Source organism: Homo sapiens, chromosome 2 (assembly GCF_000001405.40).
Source record: "Homo sapiens chromosome 2, GRCh38.p14 Primary Assembly".
Taxonomy (NCBI): domain Eukaryota; kingdom Metazoa; phylum Chordata; class Mammalia; order Primates; family Hominidae; genus Homo; species Homo sapiens.
Window position 1 is genome coordinate 140,169,327 of NC_000002.12, and position 23,714 is coordinate 140,193,040.

Consider the following 23,714-nt stretch of genomic DNA (forward strand, 5'->3'; position numbering starts at 1 on the left):
GGATGGAGGGAGGGAAGGAAGGAAGAAAAAAGAAGAAAGAAAGAAAGAAGAAAGAAAGAGAAAGAAGGGAGGGAGGGAGGGAGGAAAGAAAAAGAAAGAAAGAAAAGAAAGAAAGGAAGGAAGAAAGAAAGAAAGAAAAGAAAAGAGGAAAGAGAAGAAAGAAAGAAAGGTGATGCCAAATGACCCCAGATTGTTCACGAGTGGCTGAGATAGTGACGTCTTTTCTACCTAATTGTTCCATGTATATGAACTTTGTTACATGCACAAAATTATTTAAAAGTATTGTATAGAATTGCCTTCAAGCTGTGTATATAAGGTACATCTGAAACATAAACAACTGTTGTGTTTAGATTTGGGTCCCATTCTCATGGGACCCAAGGATATCTCATCATGTCTATGCAAATATTTCAAAATCTGAACAAATCACAAATCTAAAACACTTCTTGTCCCAAGCATTTTGGATAAGGGATAGTCAACCTGTAACTGCTTTTATCAAAAGTCCTAGATGCACTGTAGATGAACCCTATTTGTGGTATGTAGCTTTGAAAGGACATCTAATGATTACCACCTACTGGAATTCATGCCATTAAGTGATACCTTCAAGTTGAGCATGAGCTGAACCTGGTGACTTACTTCCAATGAGTAGAATGTGGCAAAAGTGATAGGATGTCACTTCTGAGATTAAGTTGTAGAGATTGTGACTTTCCTCTGGCTTGTATTCTTCCTCTTTCCCATTCTTGCTTTTCCTCTAGCTCTTCTCATGTTTTTGGTCTGATGAGCTTCATTATATTGTGAGCTACTGTATGAACAAATCTACGTAACAAGAAACTGAGGACTGCCCCCAGCCAACATCCAGCAAAAAATCTAAAATCTACCAACAGCTATGTGAGTAAGTTTAGAAGCAGATCCTTCTCCAATTGAGCCTTCAGATGAGACCATAGGCTCAAACAATACCTTAATAGCAGCCTTATGAGGGAGATCCTGAATCAGAGAACCTTGTTAAGCCATGCCTAGATTCCTGACCAAAGAGCCTGTGAGATAATAAGTGTGTCTAGTTTTAAGCCACTACGTTTTCAGATAAACTGTTACTCAGCAATAGACAACAAATACATCATACAAAAAGTATTGGCTCCAGGAAAACATAAATGTTTTTCCTCTAGGAAGAGAAAAATGTTTTCCCAGTAGCTAAAGAGAGGCATGAGGAATTTGAACCTGAAGCAGGTTTCAAGGGTGAAAACAGGGAGTGAACAGAGCCCCGAGTATATCAGGGATTACACACAGGTTATTATATCTTCTTGAACAACCCAAGCATTGTATAAGCAACGTATTTGACAGATAAAATCAAATACTTAGTGGTGGAAATCTAGAAACAGCTGTAGTCACTGAGCTGAAGATCTACATGATACAGATAGTAGCTCTGCATTTATGTGAAATACATTTCTCCTTTTTTCTCCCTACAGTTCTTCCTTTCTGACACACACTCACATACACACACACACACACACACACACACACACCTTAAGAAGGGATAAGTGTGAGATCCTGCTGATATAGTTTATTTGTGTTCTTCAAAACTCATGTTGAAATTTGATCCCCAATGTTGGAGGTAGGGACTGGTGGGAGATGTTTTGGTCATAGGGGCAGATCTCTCATGAACTTGGTGACATCCTCACAGTAATGAGTGAGTTCTTGCTCTATCAGCTTCCATGATAACTGATTATTAAAAGGAGCCTGGCACCTCTGCCCTCTCCTCTCTTTCTCACAATATGATGTCTGCTCCCCTTTGCTTTCTGCCATAAGTGGAAGTTTCATGAAACATTCACCAGAAGGAGGCACTCCCATGCTTCTTGTACAGACTGCAGACCAACATAGAAAAGAGCCAAATAGACCTCCTCATTTCTTTATAAATTACCCAGCTTCAGGTATTCCTTCATACGATGCGAGAGAAACCAAGACACCTGCCATTAGGAAGATCTGGCCTATTGATCTGTTACAAAATATTATTTTACCTCTAAGATATTTCTCAAGGTTCTCTATTTCTTTTCATTTCTACCACTACCTGACTAGTCTAGGTTCCTATGCTCTCCTGCCTGAACTACTGCAAATATTTTAACTACACTCAGTCTTTCTCCCTGCTGTAATCCATTTCACATAAAATGTCACAAGAGGGACATTTCAAAGATACAAACAGGATTGGACATTTTTCTACTTTAAACTTTTCAATGGCTTTCCATTACCTTTAACAACTACTCCAAAAAGTCATTAATTTGGCCAAGAAGGATCCTTGTGCATTTGACCTTTGCTTATCTTACTAGCTTTATCTTATCTTTCTTATCTTCTGCTTGTCTCTCAGATTATTTTTTAAATGTTGTAATTTAAGAAAACTTCACTGATCTTCTAGATTAGGTCAATCTCCATGTTACATGATCTGTTTTCTGTCATTACTTTTCTTCAGAACACTTATTACCTTTGTAATTGAATATCATTTATTTAATGAGTTGTTTATTTCATCCATTAGATGATCATTTCAATTATTCTTTTTTTCTCTTCCATTATACTTTAAGCTCCATCTTCTTCGTTCTTGTATTCTCAGAACTTAGTATAATGCTAGTATAAAATATGTGATGAACAAATATTTGATAAAAGATTAAATAGATAGAACTGGATTCTATGAAATATCTACTTCTTTATTCCAGATTTCATTAGAGAACAGTCTGAATTGCCCAGACTAAAATCCTAGGGCTCTATCCAGGAAGTCACAGGTTTCTTCAACCAAGACTTTCTTCCCCAACCACCAATACTCCCCCGACCTCCCCTCAACCTCCACCAGAAACCTGGCCAGGATTCACCAAGCTCTGCCAGTTTTATCTCACAAATACCTGTAAATCCATCTCCTACTTTCTATCACTATTATCACTGATATCTCAGTGGAAAACAGTAAACTTTTAATTTGACGGATGTAACACTTTTTAATTTTACAGATAACATAAACTATAACCTTCTAGTTAGTTTTTTATATTTCTTTTTTATACAAATAAAAAAGTGTTTATAATTAATATATTTAGTCAAATGTACTTATAAGTTTAATGACTTTCATACAATAATATGTTGATTGAAGCTATACTGCTTTTAATCCTGTTTTTACAGATAAAGAAATTTAGACAGACAAGTTTTCTAGGACCATGTAGCTTATAAATGGAAGTTACCTGTAGAATTAGACATAACAGAGAGTTTGTAAGTAATAGGAACTGTAGAACCAGTGAGATTGGAATTTAAAAATCTAGTTCCAAATTCCATACTTCCATCCAAAGTCTATGCACATTCCCAATTCCACAGCACTACTTTTGCTGCTTCTCACGTAAATACATCCTTTATTTATTTAGCATTATTATCTTTCTAAAGCACAGATGTGACTATGCCATACTCCTATCCCCAATCCCCTCCATCACTGAAAATTGGATAAAATCTCAGCTTTTTGGTGTGATCTGTAAGTCTTTTCATACCCTTGTGTCATCCAAATTCCCCTTCCTCATCTCTTGCCCCTCCTGGTTTCTACATCACCCTCTAGTCTTACAAAGTTGGTCATAATTTCTCACATCTACTCCATTCTTTCAGGCCTCTGTATATTTGCTTACGCCATTCTCTTCCCCAACAACAGTTTCCTTAATTTCTGAGCTTGCATAAATGTCAGTCATCCTTCAAGATTTAGCTTAGCTACTGCCTAATCCAGGCAATTTTCCTAAATTCCACTGTTAGGTGCTGCTATACTTCCATTATTTTCCTTTCTCTATTATTTTGAAAACTTCTTCTTTTCTTTTTGCTTGGGTGTTTGTCTACTCACTGATCTGTAAATACTTTCAGAGTAAGGACTGTGTCACACACTTTGACATCAAATGGCAATCAGAGTGATTGGCACATGACAGACATTCAAAAAATAATTGCCAAAGAGCGTGAAGTGGTGATGAGTAGGAAGCAGGGAGAAACACATCCTATTGATTTAGACCAAACACAGTAATCAACATTTTTATTTCTTAACTTGTCATTTCATACAAGACTTGTGAAAGATATAACCTATATGGTGTTCATAGTTCTATTTTATAGATGAGGAAACATGTTCATTGAAATTTAAAAGTTTGTCAAACTCTATTAGTGGAACTCAAATGTAGATTTGAATACAATATAGAACATATCCTATATATTATATATAATCCTTGGATATTTTATATAATTCATAGATATTATAAATAATGTAGATTTCTTGGAAAAAAAATCTTTGTAATAATAGCTTACTGTTTATGGTGTAATTACCATGTCCAAAATATGCTGCCAAGCACATTTTTTCATTTATTCATATTCTTCAAGTAAATGTTTATCAAACCCCTGCTATTACCAGACAATATTCTAGCAACTGGAGATATAGCAGTAACTAAAACAGAAAAACAAACCTCTGTCCTTATGTAGTTTATTCAAGAATAAAAGGAACAAAACAATATATTTATAAATCTGTACAATATAGCAGTTGTTTAACAAGTGCTCTGGAGAAAAGTGACATGTAAATGGGGATAACAGATGAAGGGGCAAGGGAGAGGATTGCATTTGTAAATAGGGTGGTAAGGAAGGCTTCACTGTGATGACATTTGAATTAGAACCAGAAAGAGACATCATGTGGTGCCTGTCATCTGTACAGTCAGGAAGGTAACGTGGCAGGAATGGAGAAGGCGGGGTCGTGTGAGTGGGAAACATGATAAGAGAAGTAGGGACCAGGGTTGGAGGTGGAGACAAGGTATGATCGTGGATGACACTTCGATGACTTTGGCATGTACTCTTATGAGTTGGAAAATTATTGAGTATGAAGTGACATGATCTGACATGTTTTGAAAATATCACTTTGGTTATTGTGTTGAGAATAGAATACAAAAGGACAAGGCCAAAAGTAAGGACACCAGTTGGAGGGTATTTTAACAATTCATGTGAGAGATTGAAGTATCTGAAACCAGTTGGCAAGAGAGGAGAGGACGTAAGAAAACAGAAAGAATTTGCTATAGATTAGAGGTAGGGTGTGGGAGAAAAAGGAGCCACGTGTAAAATATCATTGTTCCCTATTCATTATGGAGGATGGATGTGTAAAACAAAATCCAATAACATGCAACAACATGTGAAAACATTTTGTAAACTTTCTCACTTTTTTAATGAAATAATTTTGATATCTTACTATTATTTGAAATAAAGACTATATTAGGTTTTAATTATTTGAGTGGTACAAAATGGTATTTCAAAGAAATTTCCAAAAAAATTACTATTTTGAAGCATTTAAAATAGTTATCACATTCTTCTTTTTTTTATTACTCATATTGGTACTGATTGCACTTAGTGAAAATAGAACCTATCTCAAAGAAATTTGTGATTAAGGAAGGCTTTTTCCATTTTTAATCCAGTGCCAATAAGACATCAAATGACTGGCAGCCAGAAGCGATCATAAAGGCTCTGCTATGGCATTTGGGACACTGGAGCTGGTTTCACGGCCTATGGAAGGAAGGACGTGTCATGTTTATTGCATAAGAAAATCTAAAGTTCTTTTTATCAACTGTGCATGTATAAAATTAGAGGCTTAACTAAGGCTGTTGAGCAGTGATATAAAAATAATCAAGGACACTACCATTTTTGACATGTGTTTTTGTGTAACTGTAAAAATGATATAATAAAGCAATCCAGGGTGAAACCAGAGAGGAAAAAAAAATGGCAAGCACAGTGAATGCGGTAATAAGAATGCCCCATTCAGATGACAGAACTAGAGGAAATACATCTTTTCTTTCAGGTAGTGTGAACTCCTGAATAAGAACTCAAATAAGACCAACAGTCAATGGCAATGCTTCCTTGGTTATGCTTATTACATGATTCTAGTTTAGATTCTAGCTGAACTAGAAGCGTCACAAGAAAAGAAATGTCAGAAGAATATAATACTATTGATCTGACGTTTACTTATGAAATTATCTTCCAACAATCTTTGCTCAGGCATCCTATTACTTCCTTTATTTTCTTCACAATGCACAGAAAAGTAAGTTCAATTTATCTTTCATGTTAAAAATGCAATAGGAATTGGGCACAAACTTACATTGCTGTTTCAACCCTCCTATTAAGTTGGGTAGGTCAACGGGAGAAATGATGACTATAAATGGAATTGATAATTTCTCAGGAGAGAAAGGGTAAATGATAATAAATAAGACTCAGCTTGGTAATCAGCATCTGGCAGTACGTAAAATGCCTTTAAAATTTTAATGACAGTTGCCAGCACTAGATAGTCATTTGTTAAATAATGTAAAAGAATCAGTGTTTTAAGTAACAAGCATAAGGTGGAAAAATAATAAGACTTGAAAAAGAAAAATATGTTAGTAGTCAAATGAAACCTGTCTTATCAAATAGTAACTTTGGGAGAATGTACACTAGTAGAATGAGTATATCACTGATTTTTTTTTTTTTTTTAGTTTGGGAGCTATGAAAAAAAAAAGTCTTGATGATCAATTTTTCACCTAAACAAAAAAAAAAGTGAAAGATTGATAGAAAACTCAAAATGAAAGATTAGTAAAGAGAATGAAGCAGAAAAGTGAAAGCAGCTAACGCAAATATTCTTCAATATGGCCTTGGGATAAAGCATGAATCGCCAGCATTAATCCTTTTCCCACTATTCTCCCTTCCCTTTCAACCCAGTACTCCCCAGACAGCAGACACAAGGAATAATAGATTGTTGCTAAAATGACATAATTACTGAGATCATATTTTAAAAAGTAAGAAAATCAATTCAAGGCAAAAGCCAAGTAAGTGCTTTCAGCTTGTTCAAATTGAGCAAATCTTGATAAAACTCCCATCTTCTCAGCCCTACCACAATGACTCTTAGTGAATTTCCCCCACAGAATGACCAACAACTTGAATAGTTCCCTTTTAAATAAAGTCATGTAAAGTGAAATGACTTTATTTATTTATGTATGTATTTATTTTGAGACCGAGTCTTGCTGTGTCACCCAGGTTGGAGTGCAGTGGTGCAATCTCAGCTCACTGCAACATCCACCTCCAGGGTTCAAGCGATTCTCCTGCCTCAGCCTCCCGAGTAGCTGGGACTACAGGGCACATGCCACCACGCCTAGCTAATTTTTTTGTATTTTTTTTTTTTTTTTAGTAGAGACAGGTTTTCACCGTGTTAGCCAGGGTGGTCTCAATCTCCTGACCTCGTGATCCGCCCGCCTCGGCTTCCCAAAATGCTGGAATTACAGGCGTGAGCCACTGTGCCTGGCCAAAATGACTTTAGACTATCACCCAAAGAATCTGAATAAAGGTGAACTTTCAGACTCTTCTGGAAGAGGTATATTTTATCCTGTCATAAGAAAAATATCAACTCCCATTATTCTCTATATAGAAGTCCTAAGGGTCAACAAACAACAGTTTATAAGTTTTGAGTTACTTTCTGATATATCTCATTGTTAACACAATTTAACATTTTTAAATAGGATCTTCCAAATCCTTATTGGTGTCTATGTAGTAAGTGCACAGACTTTCTACCTCAACTTCATAAACTCTGTAGATAACAAAATATGAAGAGTCTAGTTCTCGTTCTCTTTCATTCTCCACACACACACACACACACACACACACACACACACACGCACGCACACACATACAGCAAGGGAATACACACTAGAAAGTTTGCTCCAGAGGTGTGAAGAATTGAAACAGTTGTTTTACCTTGGATCACAAGCAGTTTGGAGGGGAAGAGGTGATAGCCTGAGGGTTATGGCACAGGTAAAATTCTGAGTAGGTGTTGATGTATTTTTAACTGTTGAGGGAAGTGTAGGCTGATTTACTTCGCTTGGAACCAGAAACTAGCCATGGCAGGTGTTTTACTGCATTAGGCATATGGGCATATGGGCCTCAAAATGTCGATGACACCCCTACTGCTTTCATTTTTTAAGTCAGCCTATTAATAACATCTGACAGCTGGGTCAAGCGCATATGCTATTTAGCCTGATTGTGACATTTTGGCTCATCAGGGCACCACCAGTGATTATTCAACCTTGAGAGTTGTGATCTTGTGTCTTTTAAAATCATGACTGCTCAACAGAGTAAAACAACCCATAAATTCTAACCAGAAAACTTTATAAGTTTGTCTATATACTGTAACTGAATTTACTGGTCCAAGCAGTCAAATCCTTTTATGCATGAAACAAGACCAGTCTTTAGAATAGATGGAGTGGATGAATCTATAATATTAAGACTTAAGCAGTCCTGACATGGAATGTTTTTCAATACTAATACCTCTAGTAATGAACACACAAATTATTCTCATCTGCTAATACATAATTAGAGAATCTTCACAACAGGCCTGGGTATGCACTAAAGTTTAAAGAGTTTAAGGTGAGGGCCATTTAAGAAAATGAGCACAAATGAAGGAGTAGTGAATCTATAATAAAGATTATTGGTACTAAAGATAAAAATCTAATACTTATCCAAGACTCAGTGTGTGAACTGTTTTAGGCACTGCAAATTCATGGATCCACTTACTCTTCACAACAGAAAAATGCTAAGAACTAAATATTACATGCATAACACAAAACTTAAGAATCAAGACCGGCAAAAGTATCAAACATCTGGATTAAAGAACCAAGAGAAATATCCACAGTTAACATCACCCCTTAGAATCCATCGTGAAAGGGAAAGCTCAGGAAAAGACGGAGAGGAGCACGTTGTACGTGACTGAATACACTCCTCTTCTTATGAACAAATAACCCAGAACCCTATTTGTTGGATTCTACAAAACCAAAATAAAATCAAAATCTCACTAACAGAAAACAAAGTGAAAATCCTCCTGGGTACTATTTATTTATTTTGTGTTTGTTTTCTCTCTCAATCTTCTGTAGTGAATTCAGACCATTTGTTAGAGGTATCTGGGTGGACAGAAGTAGGGCTGGAGAGATTTGATGCCGGGCCAACACTTATTTTGAGCATGCCATTAAAAGCTGTTGGCATGATTCTGCCAAACATACTTTAAACATTTCCAGCATGATAGCATACAGGATAAACATATAAGAGTTTCCTATTATAGGAACAATAGCAATAAAACTTGAGTTTTATGGCAATATTTTGATGCATAGTCCAGACTTCCTGCCAGGGTATCTCCTGAAGGGGCTTTCTGAAATGAGTTTCGAGGACTGTGAAAACCCTGGAACACCCTGACTATCAAAGAGGTGGAATAAAGCCAGCACGGAAATTACTGAGGTTTGGGAAGAAAAGCAACAACTGCCTCTTTTCTTGGAAGTTGAAGGCTGCATGGGGGTCCACAGTGGCTAGACCAAGACTAAAATTATAACTACAAACCAGGACAAGACAGCAGCAAGGCATCGTTTTTCAAATTAGCATGTCTGTCTTGTTTGTTTGGTGCAATGCCAGGGATCATGACCATTTCCCAATTTGGTTGATGGTAAGTGTAGCCCTAAACCTCCACTAGAAATTACAGTTCATCATCACACTAGTTAAAGTTTTGCTAACTTTCTGTCTGTTTATGTAAGAAAGTGTTAAAATGTGTCATTTATTTTAACTTTACTAACTATAACACATACATGCAAAACTGGTTTAACTTTTAATCCAGACTTTGGGCTCATAAGTAAAATAAAAAAAAATCTGGAAATCATTTTAAAAATAACAACAACAACAAAAAACCTACTGCTATATGTCAAATCTTGTAACACCGGTCCTCAGAAGCGTGCATTGTAATTGTTTTTGTTTTTGGCTTTTTACTTTTCTGTTTTTGTTTTAGAATATTTAATAATGTAATTTGTCAGTAAACAGGCTTTTTCTTTTCCAGGCATGTGCTCTCCACGCAGTGAAACTGACTTGCAATGAATCTCAGGTAGAAATGTGCTCCTATTCATAGGTTTTGAGTACTCAGTGCAAAAACGTGTTCTGCTAAACTTGGAGTAATCCCTGTCTGGTGTAGAATTTGAAATCACATAATCTTCATAGCAACAAATCTTTCTCTTCTTCTAGCAAATGAAAAGAGAAAGTGTGCCCCCATTCCCCCCAAAAAAATGCTGCACAGTAATTATTTATTTTCATTCAGTCTTTGATTTGCATTTTACCTGACTTCATTTATTTATCCAAGCTGAAAAAGCACATACTTAAATATTTTAACCAAAAGAATATTGGAAAATGATTTTAATCACATAAATTATTTCTCTAATCGTTAAAAGCCATAAGTATTTTCTCATTCATTGCAAAATGACTGAGGTTGTATAACATTGATCATTTCCTCATATAATTATTTTTAAATGAAATGCTGATGTAAAAATGCAAGTGTTTAATGTTAACTAGTGCTTCAGTGAAGAAACTGCATGGCGAGAAAAGGGGAGATCAATAAGAGAAATGCCTGGTAGTGTCTGAGGAAATGGAGCCTCCATGAAAAGAAAGGACCATACACAATGAAGAGAACCATGAATGCCAACGGCTCACCTCAGAGTCCCCAAGGTACTTCTGTCTGGTAAGTATCTCATTACTGGGGCATCGTTTGTAAGAGCTGAGACCTGGGCCAGTAACAGCAATTATCAAAGTAGGCGGTCAAATCACCCTTGGATATTTTAGAAGCCACACTTAAGGCTTCCTTTCTCCTCATTCTGTTGTGGATTTCTAAGGAGAGAGGCAGAACATTTTAGCAACCACCCTTGTAGTGAATTGTGTCACTTATCTGGAGAATCTGGTGCATTGAATTTATTTGCTGTGTTGGGACACAGAACACACACACACACACACACACACACACACATATATCTTATTCTCTTCAGGACACATTTAGGGTGTCTCCATATCGATTTCCTACAATGTAAGGGCACGAAAGCTGGGCTGTGTTATCCAGCCACAGGGCTCACAGCGGACCATCATAACAAGGGGTGACATCTGAAGCCACCAGTCACATCCCACTCCTTTGTCCTCTCACAGCCTCTTAGAGGCCTGCCTCAGTTACTGTGTTAGCTGAGTGGAATTGACTGTTTCAGGGAAGGAAGTGAATTGTCATGGGGAAAAAGGCTAGAGAGCAGGATGCCAGCAATGTCTCTGCTGGTATCCTTGAAATCCACAGAATCTAGAGTTGCCAAAGAAATATTATAGCATGCATTAAAATACTATATGTCTTTTTTTCCTGATGGCCAGGAATCTCTCTTTGGTAAGAAGATGGAGAATGAGATTATACTCTCAACTAATATGTCATCGATTCCTTATATTTTATCCTTCCAGTTTCACCTTTCATAGGAAGTAGGACACAGTTTCAGGTGGGAAAGCTCCTCTCAAATGTAAATACATGAAATTTTATTCAAGCAACAGTCAGTTCTTGGAGCCCACAGCTGAATGAGCTCAGCCTTCTCTGACCTCCCAGCCCTGGACTATTGATTCTAGAGACATGGTTTACAGTTTCTAATTTGGGCAGTGCCATTTAGTAGCTGAGACTATAAGCCCATTTCCTAACATTTCATAGATATGGTTGCACTATACACAAAATGGAAAAAGTAATTATACTTCCTCGTAGATTTTGTCATTATTAAATAAAAATAAAATGTAGAAACATTTAGCACAATATCTGACACATAATGAGTGCTCAATAAACCAAAAAAGGTTAGCTGTTGTAAGCATTACTCTCAAGCCAATGCCTCTCTCCACCCTCCTCTAACATACCAATATTCTACTTGCCTTTACTCTCTTCCATGGGGTTCAAATGCCCCTATGTTCTTACTTCTTTTCTCTCACTTTGGTTTTCTTCTATGATTCCAATCTCAGCCCAGTTAACTCTTAGCATTTTCTGGCTCTTGACTCAGTAATCACTTTATGTCAAAATGTTTCCTAGTCTCCTTAAACTTGATCATATTCCTTGGTTATTTGTTTTCTAAGGACCATATTGCTTTACTTTAGCGTCAAAATCTCAGTGTGTTTCTTCATTTTATGTTTGTTTCACTCATATGACATTAAACTCCATGAAAACAAGAAACAATTTCTTGCTCACCATTTTCTTCCCAATGCCTGGAAAGCTGCTTGACTCACGGGAGGAGGTCATAAAATATATTTGGAAGAAAATGAATGAACAAATAAATGCTGTCACCTGCAGGCCATTCTTTATTATTTTCAAGAAATTCTGTAATGACCCATTACACTATTTTGTCTGCATCATTCAGATCACTTTTATAAATATATTTAAGATAGTATAACAGCTTCTTCCATAATAGCAGCCTCTGACTGAGGTATTTTCTTTTAATTCCATCCCTTCCACTATCCTTGATGTACAGTTCCTATTGGCAAGCTTGATCATTCCTTCAGTCACTCCTTCAATTCAAAATGTGTCAGAAATGGTACTAAAAGACTGAGGGTAAAATGTCATCATTTTGTTGTTGTTGCTTGCTTATGTGTTTTTATTTGTTTATTTAGTTGAGGGGTGGTAGCAGACATAATGCATATAATAAAGATAGTAAAACAAGTATAATCTAAATAGGCAAATTCAATAATAATTCTCAGCACAAAGAATTGCAAGAGAATAATAGAGAGATTCTCAACATAGTCTGGGAGAATAGTGTCAGGGAACCTTCCAGAAGGGGATAGAGGAGGAAAAGCAAAGCAAAGTGGGACTAGAGGCATTGAGGGCATGAACATAATGGGACTCCAAGATGATTGTTGTAACTCTAGTGTAAAGTAAGGGGCAGGGAGACTGAGTCCTGAGTCCAGAACATTGCCGAAGTGAGAGCCTGGTGGACTGTGACTATTCCTCTGAGGAGTCTCTGCTCCCTCCTGAGTAACAGGCATTGCCAGATTTCAAGAGGAGAGGTACTGTAAGATTCATTTTCTGTTGAGCGCTGAAGGCTGTGTGGAGGATGTGAAGGAGCCAGAACTGTAGGAACAAGAGGCCCTTGCAATAGTGAACTACTGCAGATAGCACCTTCAAAGAGGTACTAGAAAATCATAGGGATGATGAGCAGACAGGTGGGAAGTGAAGAGAGAGGTAAGAAAGACTGGAGGTGGTGAAGACAGCCTGGGTTAGGAAGCCTCTGTGTGGCCACAGGAGAGCAGTCATGCCTATTGAGTGGTTCAGATGGGCCACTGTGGCAAGGAAGACAAGTTCCTGTAGTTTACAACTTCTTGAGAAGGAGCAGTTGTGTGTATTCCTGGCAAGAATCACATTCCTCTCACTCTTATTGCTCTCTGGTAGAAGACTACCAGGACTGATTCATTTATATCCTTTGTTCCATATCATTATGCTCTTCACCCCAGAAGGTAGCCTGGTTCACTCTCTCACAACCATCATAGGTTTGTTCTAAAAACCTCTACTTTGGGGAACTTTCTCCAACCACCCAATTTAAACATTCTCCACAGACAGACTGTCCTTCTCTCCTGTTTTATCTCTCTCTTTCGCAGAATTGAATAACATCTGACATGTATAGGTATTCATTTAATTGATTCTCATTTACCCACTCCATTAAACCACAGGACTACAAGTCCTTGTCTATTTTGCCTATTGCTATACCTTCAGTTCCTACAACAATATTTGGCACAAAGTAGGTGCTCAAAAAATATCAGTTGAAGAAATAGCCTTTGCTGATAGTAGTTGGTGTCCAAGAAATACAGATTTCTGCAAAATGTTTGAAAGTAAAATAAGCCTGGATTACCTTGGAGAAAGAATCTACCAAGTTTACAGAGCTACTGGGAAGTGTCCTGTCCTGCACAGGAGGAATTTGTGCTTAGAGGAATTTAGAGTGGACACGGAGGTGTAGGGTGAGGTATTCCACGGGTTTGGGGAGCAGCAGAGAGTTTGTTCTGGTCCAGAGTATCATGGTGTCTGCAGGGATTCACTAATCAGGAAGCAGAGCCAGCCACGAGGATTGCTGCTGAGACATCCTGTGGCTACTGTGGATTGTTTTTACTGCTCAATTCTCCAATAGGAAAAGTGCCTTCCCCTGGCTCCACATTGGATTCCTGCTCAGCACTGGATTCCTGATATCTGCTATAAGCAGAAGATGTGCTACCTCTACATTCTTCAAATTTGTATTTTAAAATTTGAAAAATACAATGCAATTAAAGCAGTTCTTTCCTTGTCTTTATTTTATCTTCCCCAACCCCAAGCAAAATACACTTTCTAGTCTTTTGACTATCAGTAAGCATCGGTGGCCAAGAAATCCCCACCCTATGGAGTGTACCCAACCTGCTGGTCACTGCTGCTGGCTCTGCTCCCAGGTACCCACTGGCCATATGTGGTATATGGCTTCTCCATCCTGAAGGTTATAAAAGGCTTTGAATATAACAGATTTCCTAAGTGACGACAGAAAATATGGTACTTGCCTTCTTCGGGTTCTTCTGTGTGCATTTATGCTTGATTACTACATCAGCTTTCTTTGTTCAATTATTTCTGTTTGTTCAATTATCTACCTGAATTCTTAAGTTCGGTTTCACTAAAATTTTAATTCTACTAACTGATGTAGTTAAAAATTCCTATGCTATTTCCACCTATAAATGCAATAGGCAATACAGCCTCTTGTTCTATAATGAGTACTTTCTGTATTCTAAATTGGTTATATTTATTAACTCTTATTAGAAACTGAGAGGGTGAGTCCTGTTTTATTGAGCAGCATGCTACCTGGAAACCCTGAGACTAATCAGGGTGTATTTAATGATAGGATGCAAGCGTGCTTTTGCTGCCAATTACAAACATCTACCCTTAGTCCTTAGTGCCAAACTGCACTGAAAATTCTTAATCAAATCTTCACCGTCTCTTATGTGTTCTTCTAAATTGCAAATTTACAGAGGGCAGGAATGGACGTCTTTGTTAAGTCAGTATTTCTAAAGAACCAGACCTCATGCCATGCCTGTTGGCACTCAATAAATATTGATTTATAAAAACTGTAAATTGGGAGATAATGATCTCCATTAATCACTGGGGAAGATTATGAAGAAATTATAGTTGCAGTTCAGGGACAGTGAAATACTAAATGGTATATTTGGATAATTTTAAAATCAACAACAGATCAGAGTTTGTGTATGTGCATGTGTTTGTGGGTGTGTGTGTGGGGGGGTTGTGTGTAGGGTGTGGAGTGTGTGTGCTGTGTGCATGGATATGTGTGTCTATGTGTATATATGTATGTTTGTGATTAATTCTAGGCAAAAGGAAGGGGAGGAAGAGAATTTTAGTTTTGAAAGTCATAGTGTTTGCTGCTAGAAAGATTCAGTTATTTACTCTTCATAGCTTAGCTCTTTTTATTTCACTATTCCTGTAACCTTTTGAGTTCTTAGGCTGCAGACCATAATGCCATATTTTTCTTTGTTGTAAAGATCTTATATCTTCTTTACTAACAGAAAGGAGAAAAAATTCAAATTCAAATGTGAAAGTAAAAAATAGTCCTACATTTTTGGTTTTTCAAAGACTAATTATTCATGTTTTGTAGCTTCTAATTCTCATTTATGAAATGATATAGTTTGATATTTACTGATTTTTAGGCTTTGAGAGGATTTTAGAAAGTACCTCAATTTTATTTCTGTTAAATACTAGTCTCATTATATGTTTCCTTAACTGTTACTTAATATGTTTCAGAATGATTCTCAGAGAATCATAACAATGGTGAAATCTAAATCTAAATCTCTCCTTTAGTGATTTGCAATATTCATTCATAAAATTGCAAACTATGCAATAAGAAATGGTTTTGCCATTGTTAAAACCAATATTTTCTCATATCATTTTAATGTAGAAACTTTTTTAAACATAGAAATTGCAGTAGCATCCCTTTGGGAAAGCTCTTAAATCTATTTTTTTTTTAACTTTAAAGAGAAGAAAATGAATCCCCTGCAAAAGAAGCAGTGACAGATAGAAGGTGACTATATCACAGTAGTATTTATCCCAAATTCAACTGGATTTCACAGCAAAGAGACAAGCTGTTTTTTCACAAATCATAATTCCTGGATCATTTCCAACACCAGGGTATGAAGTAAGTGTGAAATGAGCCACAGATATATAAAGGTTAAAGAATACACATAAATGTAGAAAAATCAATATTCATCTTTTCATCATGTTACAAGACTACAAATTTAAAGCCACAAGAGGAAAAAGAAAATAATTTTTTAAGGAGTTGAAAGTGTAAATTCTAAAACATTTTAGTTATTGCTGATTTTTTTTTTCTTTAGCCTCTTAATACCAATTTTCTCTTCAATACAAAAAAAAAAAAACATAAGTAAACAGGAAGAAACGAAATCCCGTTAGATATGTAGGAAATTTCTCTCAGGGACAATCCTGAGTTTTTTACATAGATTGACAAAAACAATAATTACTGGGTATTATCTATATTGAGGATGGCAGAAGAGATCATATTTGATACCTATGAGAAAAAGAGAGTGATTGAGAATATTTGTAGAGGTTGAAGGAAAATCATTTGGATGAGTTGGCTATATTTGAGGAACTAGAATCTTAGTAAGTTCTTATTACTAAGGCTGTAAATGAATATGCATCCATTACCAGGTGTTTGTTTGTTTAAGATGAAATCAAGTTTCAGAGTATGAATAAATAAAAAAAAATTGTGGCATATACATAAAATTGAATTTTATGGAGTCCCAAAATGGAATGAAGTATTGATACTTGCTACAACATGAATAAGTGTCCAAAATATTATGCTAAGTGGAAAAAACCTGACACAACATGTCACATGTTATATTATTCCATTTATACAAAATACCTAGAATAGGTTGTCCCATACAGTTAGAAAGCAGACTGATGTTTGGCAGGGGCTGGGGGCAGAGAGAAATGGAGGACTGCTTTATGGGTACAGATTTTCTTTTTGAGTTAGGACATGTTTTAGAACTTGATAGAAGTGGTGGTTGCAAAACATTGTTAATTCAATACTAAATGTCATTGAATTGTTCACTTTAAAATGATTAATTTTATGTTATATGAATGTCACTTTAATTTAAAAAAAAAATCTGGCTCCTAGAGTTTTGCTCTAAATGCAGCCTCAACTTCAGGCTGGAAATAACCCCATACCTCCTGTGTGTTGCTTGGTGTTAAAATAGCATGTTTTTCTTGGCATTGCTCTCTTTCTCTTTTCTGCTTCCCAATCAACATGTCCAACTTGCACAGAAAGGTCTCCTTTCTGTTGAAAAAAAAAATTAACAGTTTATGTTATTTTAAGAACATTGCAAAAACCAAGTTGAAGTCCAAATTAAATGCATTCTACATTCTTCCCGATTACTCTCTTATGCGTAAGACTAAAATAAAATGCGTAACAATGAGTAGCCAGGAAGCATAGAGGGAGGACACACATGTATGAAGTAGCTCTCACTTAGCAACTTTTAGAAATGTAAGTGGAGGGCGTAGGATGTTTACCATATGGGGTACAAAGCAGATTCTTCTGGCTAAGAAGGAAAGGAGGAAAGGATTTCTAGGCTGCCAGGAAGCAGGTAGAAATTCTGTCTGAAATGAGATCTTTCATGGAATAGTAAGAATTTGTTTCTTAGGAAGAAAGCATTTAAACTTTCACAGTTAGTGTCAATTCATTGGTACTAAATGGCTAGTTAATGTCATTGTTTTCTTGTTTTGTTTCAGATTTTCAAATTTATTGTTACCAAATTTAGAGTATTCTCTTATAATTGTCATTATGAAATTTTAAAATCATAGTACAGAAAAGCATAGAAAATTATATGATGAACACTCATGTACCCACCATCCTGGTGCCAAGTCTTATCATTTTGCTGTATGTGTTTTAGATTTATAAAATAAAACAGTAAAATATCCTTGATACCTTTGTGTACCTATCTCTAACCACATTATTTCTCCTTCTCCAGACATAATTGCTCTCTTGAAATTGTTGTTAATATTCCCACAGACACTTTTATGTTTTTACTTCATTATTTATGTCCCCATCATAATCCACAGTTTATCGTCATTGTTTGACCCTCAGAAGCAGATACGTCACATCATGACATCATCATAATTTGTCCATGTAAAGCATGTACTTGTTTTCATATTTTATGTATGTATTTATTCATTTATTCATGCGTTTTTAGCCTACTGCTCCCTACTTCCAATGACAACCCACTCTGATGGACGTTCTATGCATCCTTTGCTCTTGGAGAGCACAACCATTTTTATAGGGTGATTAAAGGTGACCATTTCTATTAGTTCCATTTTCATTTTTTTCTTTCTGTTCCTTGTTCTTCATTATAATTTCTCTTCCAAAATAAACTCTCAAAGCAATTTTCCAGACAAACAGAAGACGATGGTGGGGGAAGGCCTATTTTTAGGGATAGAAGACTTGTGTGGGATATGAGATTTGGGGAAGCTAGGTGCTTCTTTGTTATTAGCAAGTGTAATACTCAATGGTCTATAAAACCACTCTTTTCAACATTACAGTTTGAATAAAATTGCAATTATGGAAATAGGTAAATCATGCGTAAGAAAGCTTTATTCCCATTTTAGTGTGGGAAACCAATTCTCCCATGGTGTATAATTCTAATTTAGGGTCCTACCCATAGCTTGTAAATATCAATTTTTTAGCAAACAACTTCACGGAGTGAGATGAGTGTATGAAGTTCCTGGGTTGACAGACAGCTTATGCTTATAGTTTGTTCATAAGCAAGCTTTTCAAAACTAAGCATGCAATTTCCTATACAGCCAATATTTAGTAACTGTGAGTATGTGCAAAGGCTAATTCATGGAACTTAGAAAGCCTTTGGTAACTGAGAAACAATGGTAAGACTAATATAATTAGGACTATATCAAAGAATGCTTGGCGATGCTTATTGAGAATGGAATGTGGAGTAGGTGCATCATTTTCCTTTCTTTTCCTTCTTGCTCTCTTCCTTCCTTGCCATGGTTTAGTCCTAGTGAGAAGAAATGCCATGATCCTGAAATTGCTTGCCTTTTTCTAACTCCTCAGCTTCACCTTCCTGCAGCCATTTCCCATACTTCAGGAACAGTGGCCAGTGTCACTGGGAATATTCTATACTCTCTGTCTCAACTTACATCTCTATCCTCCATTAAACACCACATTTGCAAGTCAACAAGGGCGTCTAATAGTTTCTACTATTTAGAAGAATAATTTCTCTAATGCCAAATCGAAGTCTACTATTTGGGTTTCATATGACGGTGTAATTATATTATGACATCTTTCCCAGTTGCCTATATTCCACATCCAATTGGTAAGAGTCATACCATTTCTACCTTAAAAAATATGTTCCAAATTCAGCACTTTTCACCTCCTCCATCATTCCCTGTATATATTCCTGCCCTTCAGTAGCTCAATTCTGCATATAATAGTCAAAATAATCCTTTTAAAATGTTAATGGGATCTTGTCATAACTTTAATCAAAATCTTCCATCTTCTTCCTATCACATTTAGAGCAAAATTCAAAGCCTTTGTAATCTGACCCATGTCTTCCTCTCCTAACTCCTATCTCCACGTTCCCCTGCTTACTCCACCAGAGTCCCAGTGTTCGGAGCTCTGTGCCCTCTTAGGGCCTTTGCCTCTGTTGCTGTCTCTTCTAGAATGTTCTCTTAGGCTTGCATGATTCCATCCTTCACTTAGTTTATGGCTGTGCCCATATTTTATCTTCTCACACAGGCTTTTTCCTGGCACCAAATAGCATCTTCTTCCTTCACTGCTCTCTATTGCTCTACAATGCTCAGTTTTTTAGATAGCATGTATTATTGACAATAAAATATTATTTATTATTAGTTTATTTGCTAGAAAAGGAAAAAGAGCTTATCTTCATCACTGTTCTAGCAATGGCACATAGAATCTGTGTCTGGAATATAGAAGGCAACAGTAAACGCCCATTGAAGAAGTGAATGAATCCATTTCAATACAACTATTTTATTAGCATCCAAGGAGAACAATACATTGCACAGGGATATCCTGGGAATTTAAATAAGTTTACTATTTAAGATGTAGTACAGCAACTATAAAATGTATAACAGAGAAAATAGTAAAGGTTAAGTGGGAAAAAAAACTTCTCAAATGCGAAGTAAAATGAAGATAGAATTTTTTTATGGAGGATGAATAACAAAAATAAAATAAAATACACTTAAAGTGGAATTTAATAGAATCTAAAGTTGAAAATGTGCATGGAATTATATAAATGTGGATAGTAAAAGATGTTAGTGATGAATACCCAACCAAGAATTTCAGTAATCATTAAGCTTTATAATGCTGAGACACTATTTTCACAAAACATTAAAATATAATGAAAAACTACAGTTCATAAGGATGGTTTGTTCATAGAAACTAAAAATGTTTTCTTCGCAAATCCAAGGACTCGTATTTTACTGTTTTGATTATTATCATGGCCTCTCCTAACATGAATTAAACAAGCAATTCTGAAAGAATTGTTTTATTATTGTTGTTTTTAATCTATTTGCAATGATATCTTGAGGAAGGAACTGATATAATTTGTAAATTCTCCTGGATCCATTTGGAGTGAAGTATATTTGTCCTTTTTAGTAATAACATAAAGTATTAAACTATGTTACATGAAACAAAAAATGCGTGCTTAATGACTGAAATATGATAGTAGTGAAAAGATGTTTGTACGGCAAACCTTAGGTTTTAATAAGCAATAATAACAATTCTAATAAAATCCAGAAGTAAATAATGAAAATAATGCAAAGCCTACTGTATAACTATTAAGCTACAAAATGCGTATTTTTTTCTCTTATGGAATGGAGTGAATATATACAGGATTGATATGTTTCATATGTATTTATTGAACACCTAGGAGTTATTACAAGTCATTATGGGAAACACAAATGCCTAACAGAGTCACTGTTTTAAAGAAATATAAACGCTAATAAACTATAATGTATAATTATAAGTTGCATTGTTTACCACAAATATTAAGTTACATGTAAATGTTTAGCAAGGGAAATATTTAAATAAATGCTGTCATCAAAGTTTTATAATTTGAGAGAGTCATCAGAGTAGAGTTTCAGAGTCAGACTGCCAGGGTTCAAATCTCCCAGGCCTCCCAGCCATTGTCCTCACTTCTCTAAGCTCCAGTGTCCTCTTCTATTAATAGATGACTGAATGTGATCATTTATAAACATTACCTAACACTGCACCTGGCACATAGGTAGTGCCCCGTAAATACCCTTGCCCCCTAACATGAACTACCTGTAATACTAATTCAATCTTCTAATTGCTTTTTCAGTAAAAATTTGTACTTGATCTGTGCTGGGAAATACTGTTTTCCCAAGTGTAGAGTTTCTATATAAGGAATATTAAAAACTCATCTCTAGTCATGCCAGGGTGATTTTTTTTCTCCTTTCTATGCTGGTGAACTGAGGAATAACAACATAATCAAAGGAAATATTCTATGCAAAGACCATTTTACAACCTGTCATTAGGCACGACTACCCAGGTAATAGTTATTCAAGTACACATTGCTCAGACTATCTATTTTTCCCTCATGCTATCATTATCCACTAATAATAGAATTTACAAGACATTTTAAGAGGCCAATAAAAAGCAAGTTCCTTTGAGGGAATTCATGAATTTCCTTTTAAAAAACTTCATTAGCAATGAGAAACCTACCATTGACCAGGATGTTAATGGTGACTATTCTGTTCATCAACATGTTTATAATTCATATAGCAACTAATGATTATAAAGCATTTGATGATAGCAAGCAATTATAACAATTATGGACTTTCTTTTATGTGCAGAACAGCACTTGGGCTATGTAACAATAAAATAGGGCTGTAATTTAAAGTAACATTTCACATTTTTATACCGTCGAGGATTGCACTTCTGATGTTTAAAAAGTGCAAAAGATTTGTTTCTATTGGGTTGATTTTAAATGTGTCTGCCCCATCACAAATATGCTATTCTAATGATCATTTCAAGTAAAAAAAAATCAGTTAAGCCTCAGGAGAAGGATGTATTTATACCTGTAAACAGCAATATTCAAGCTTGAACAGACAGCAATCAAATCCAAAACACTGAGGGACACATAAAGAACAACATTTACATAGACACGATAGAGTGTTTTCTAGATAGCATTTAGGCATTTCTACATCACCCAGTTGAAGTGGTATTTCATAAATAATTTACAAATAAAGGAATTTGTAGAGAAAACAGGGAAACTAGGTGCACACATGATAAACTCATAGTATGTTTGGTCATAAGTGTGCTACATACAGAAGCATAATTTTGAGGTAATTTGCTAATGTGTTCATTTTTAACCACAGACCTCTCTTCATAGTTACTGGTATCTTTCCAGACAGGTAAGGCTAACTCCTGCACTACAGGATCACATTCTTAATGTCTTCTAAGTTATTTTCTTTGTTTCTGACTTGAGATGCCCTACTTTTTATTCCAAGGATCATTTTTACATTACAAAATGCTCTAAAATTATTATTGCATATTTTAATGTATAGAGATTAGAATAAAAGTGCTTCCAACCTTCAACAGCAGAAGTCTCCTTCTACAGGATCTACCACCTTGAAGAAACTCTATTAGTCCCAGACTGCTGCCCTTGGTGGCGTGTGTTCATTCTGGCATCTATTTTGTCTTTTTTTATTCTCCAAAGTAAATATTTTCACTTGGTAGCACTGAGTTGTATTATATCTATCATTGTATTTTAATAACTTTATGTAAGCAAGTTTCAAATGAAAAGATTTCCAAAGAAGAATGCTAGGCCGGGGGCGGTGGCTCATGCCTATAATCCCAGCACTTTGGGAGGCTGAGGCAGGTGGATCACATGAGGTAAGGAGTTTGAAATCAGCCTGCCCACCATGGTGAAACCACGTCTCTACTAAAAATACAAAAACTAGCCGGGTGTAGTAGCTGTAATTCCAGCTATTCTGGAGGTTGAGGCAGGAGAATCACTTGAACTCAGGAGGTGGAGGTTGCAGTGAGCCGAGATCGTGCCACTGCACTCCAGCCTGGGTAACAGAGTGAGACTCCATCTCAAAAAAAGAAAGAAGAGTGCTAGTGACAGCTAAATAGAAAGTTGCTTTGGGGGTGTGGAGAAAAAGGGAGAAAGGGGAGAGGAGCTGGCCTTGCAGGTTCTGAGGGGACAGCAACTCGGTTGCTAATACCTTCACTATAGAAATGTGTGTAACTCTTGGGAAAATATCTACATTTTTGGCAGAATTTATGCCCATGCAATCTGCAGGTTAGGGTTTAAAGAAACTCTTCCTTAAGTAAGGTTTGCATTTAGCATGTCCTTCATCCATGGTAAGGTATCATCTCTTTGATTAAAAAAAAAAAAAAAGGCCATTTTTCTGTGAGACATTTAGTTAGAGGAGTCATTTCTCTCTCAACTCTTAAGTTTGGCATTTCCTTGTATGAGACTAGGCAAGGCCAAGACTATTGATTTTAGATGACTTATGCAGTTTTTCAGTAACCCCGAAGCCTGATATATTTTGGTTAATACAACTTAAGGAAAAAAATATCATGTATTTTGGAAGCAAATCCATATTTATTTTATGTTTCTGTGGGACAAAGGTATCTACCTGTATTTACTGAGTGTGTATGCTGGACTATTTTAAGGTGGAGTAAAAGTTGTACTAAGAAAGGAACAGGTAAAATGTCTAGCATTTAATGGGCTGAATACATTTAATTTCACATAAAATCCTCTTCGTTATCCAACCTCTTTCAGTTCCCTGAAGGTTAATGCGCACTAAAAATACAAGCACAAATATTTATTTTTTGTTTTCTTTG

The 23,714-nt window shown here is 36.0% G+C and overlaps 1 long non-coding RNA gene across 1 annotated transcript; it reads left to right on the forward strand.

Annotated features, from left to right (window-relative positions):
* The first annotated feature begins 9,129 nt into the window (after positions 1-9,129).
* LOC107985822 (uncharacterized) lies at positions 9,130-11,794 on the forward strand. The gene is made up of 3 exons (XR_001739215.1): positions 9,130-9,466; positions 9,851-9,895; positions 10,357-11,794. It is a non-coding gene; the product is annotated as an uncharacterized LOC107985822 (long non-coding RNA).
* The last annotated feature ends 11,920 nt before the right edge of the window (positions 11,795-23,714 follow it).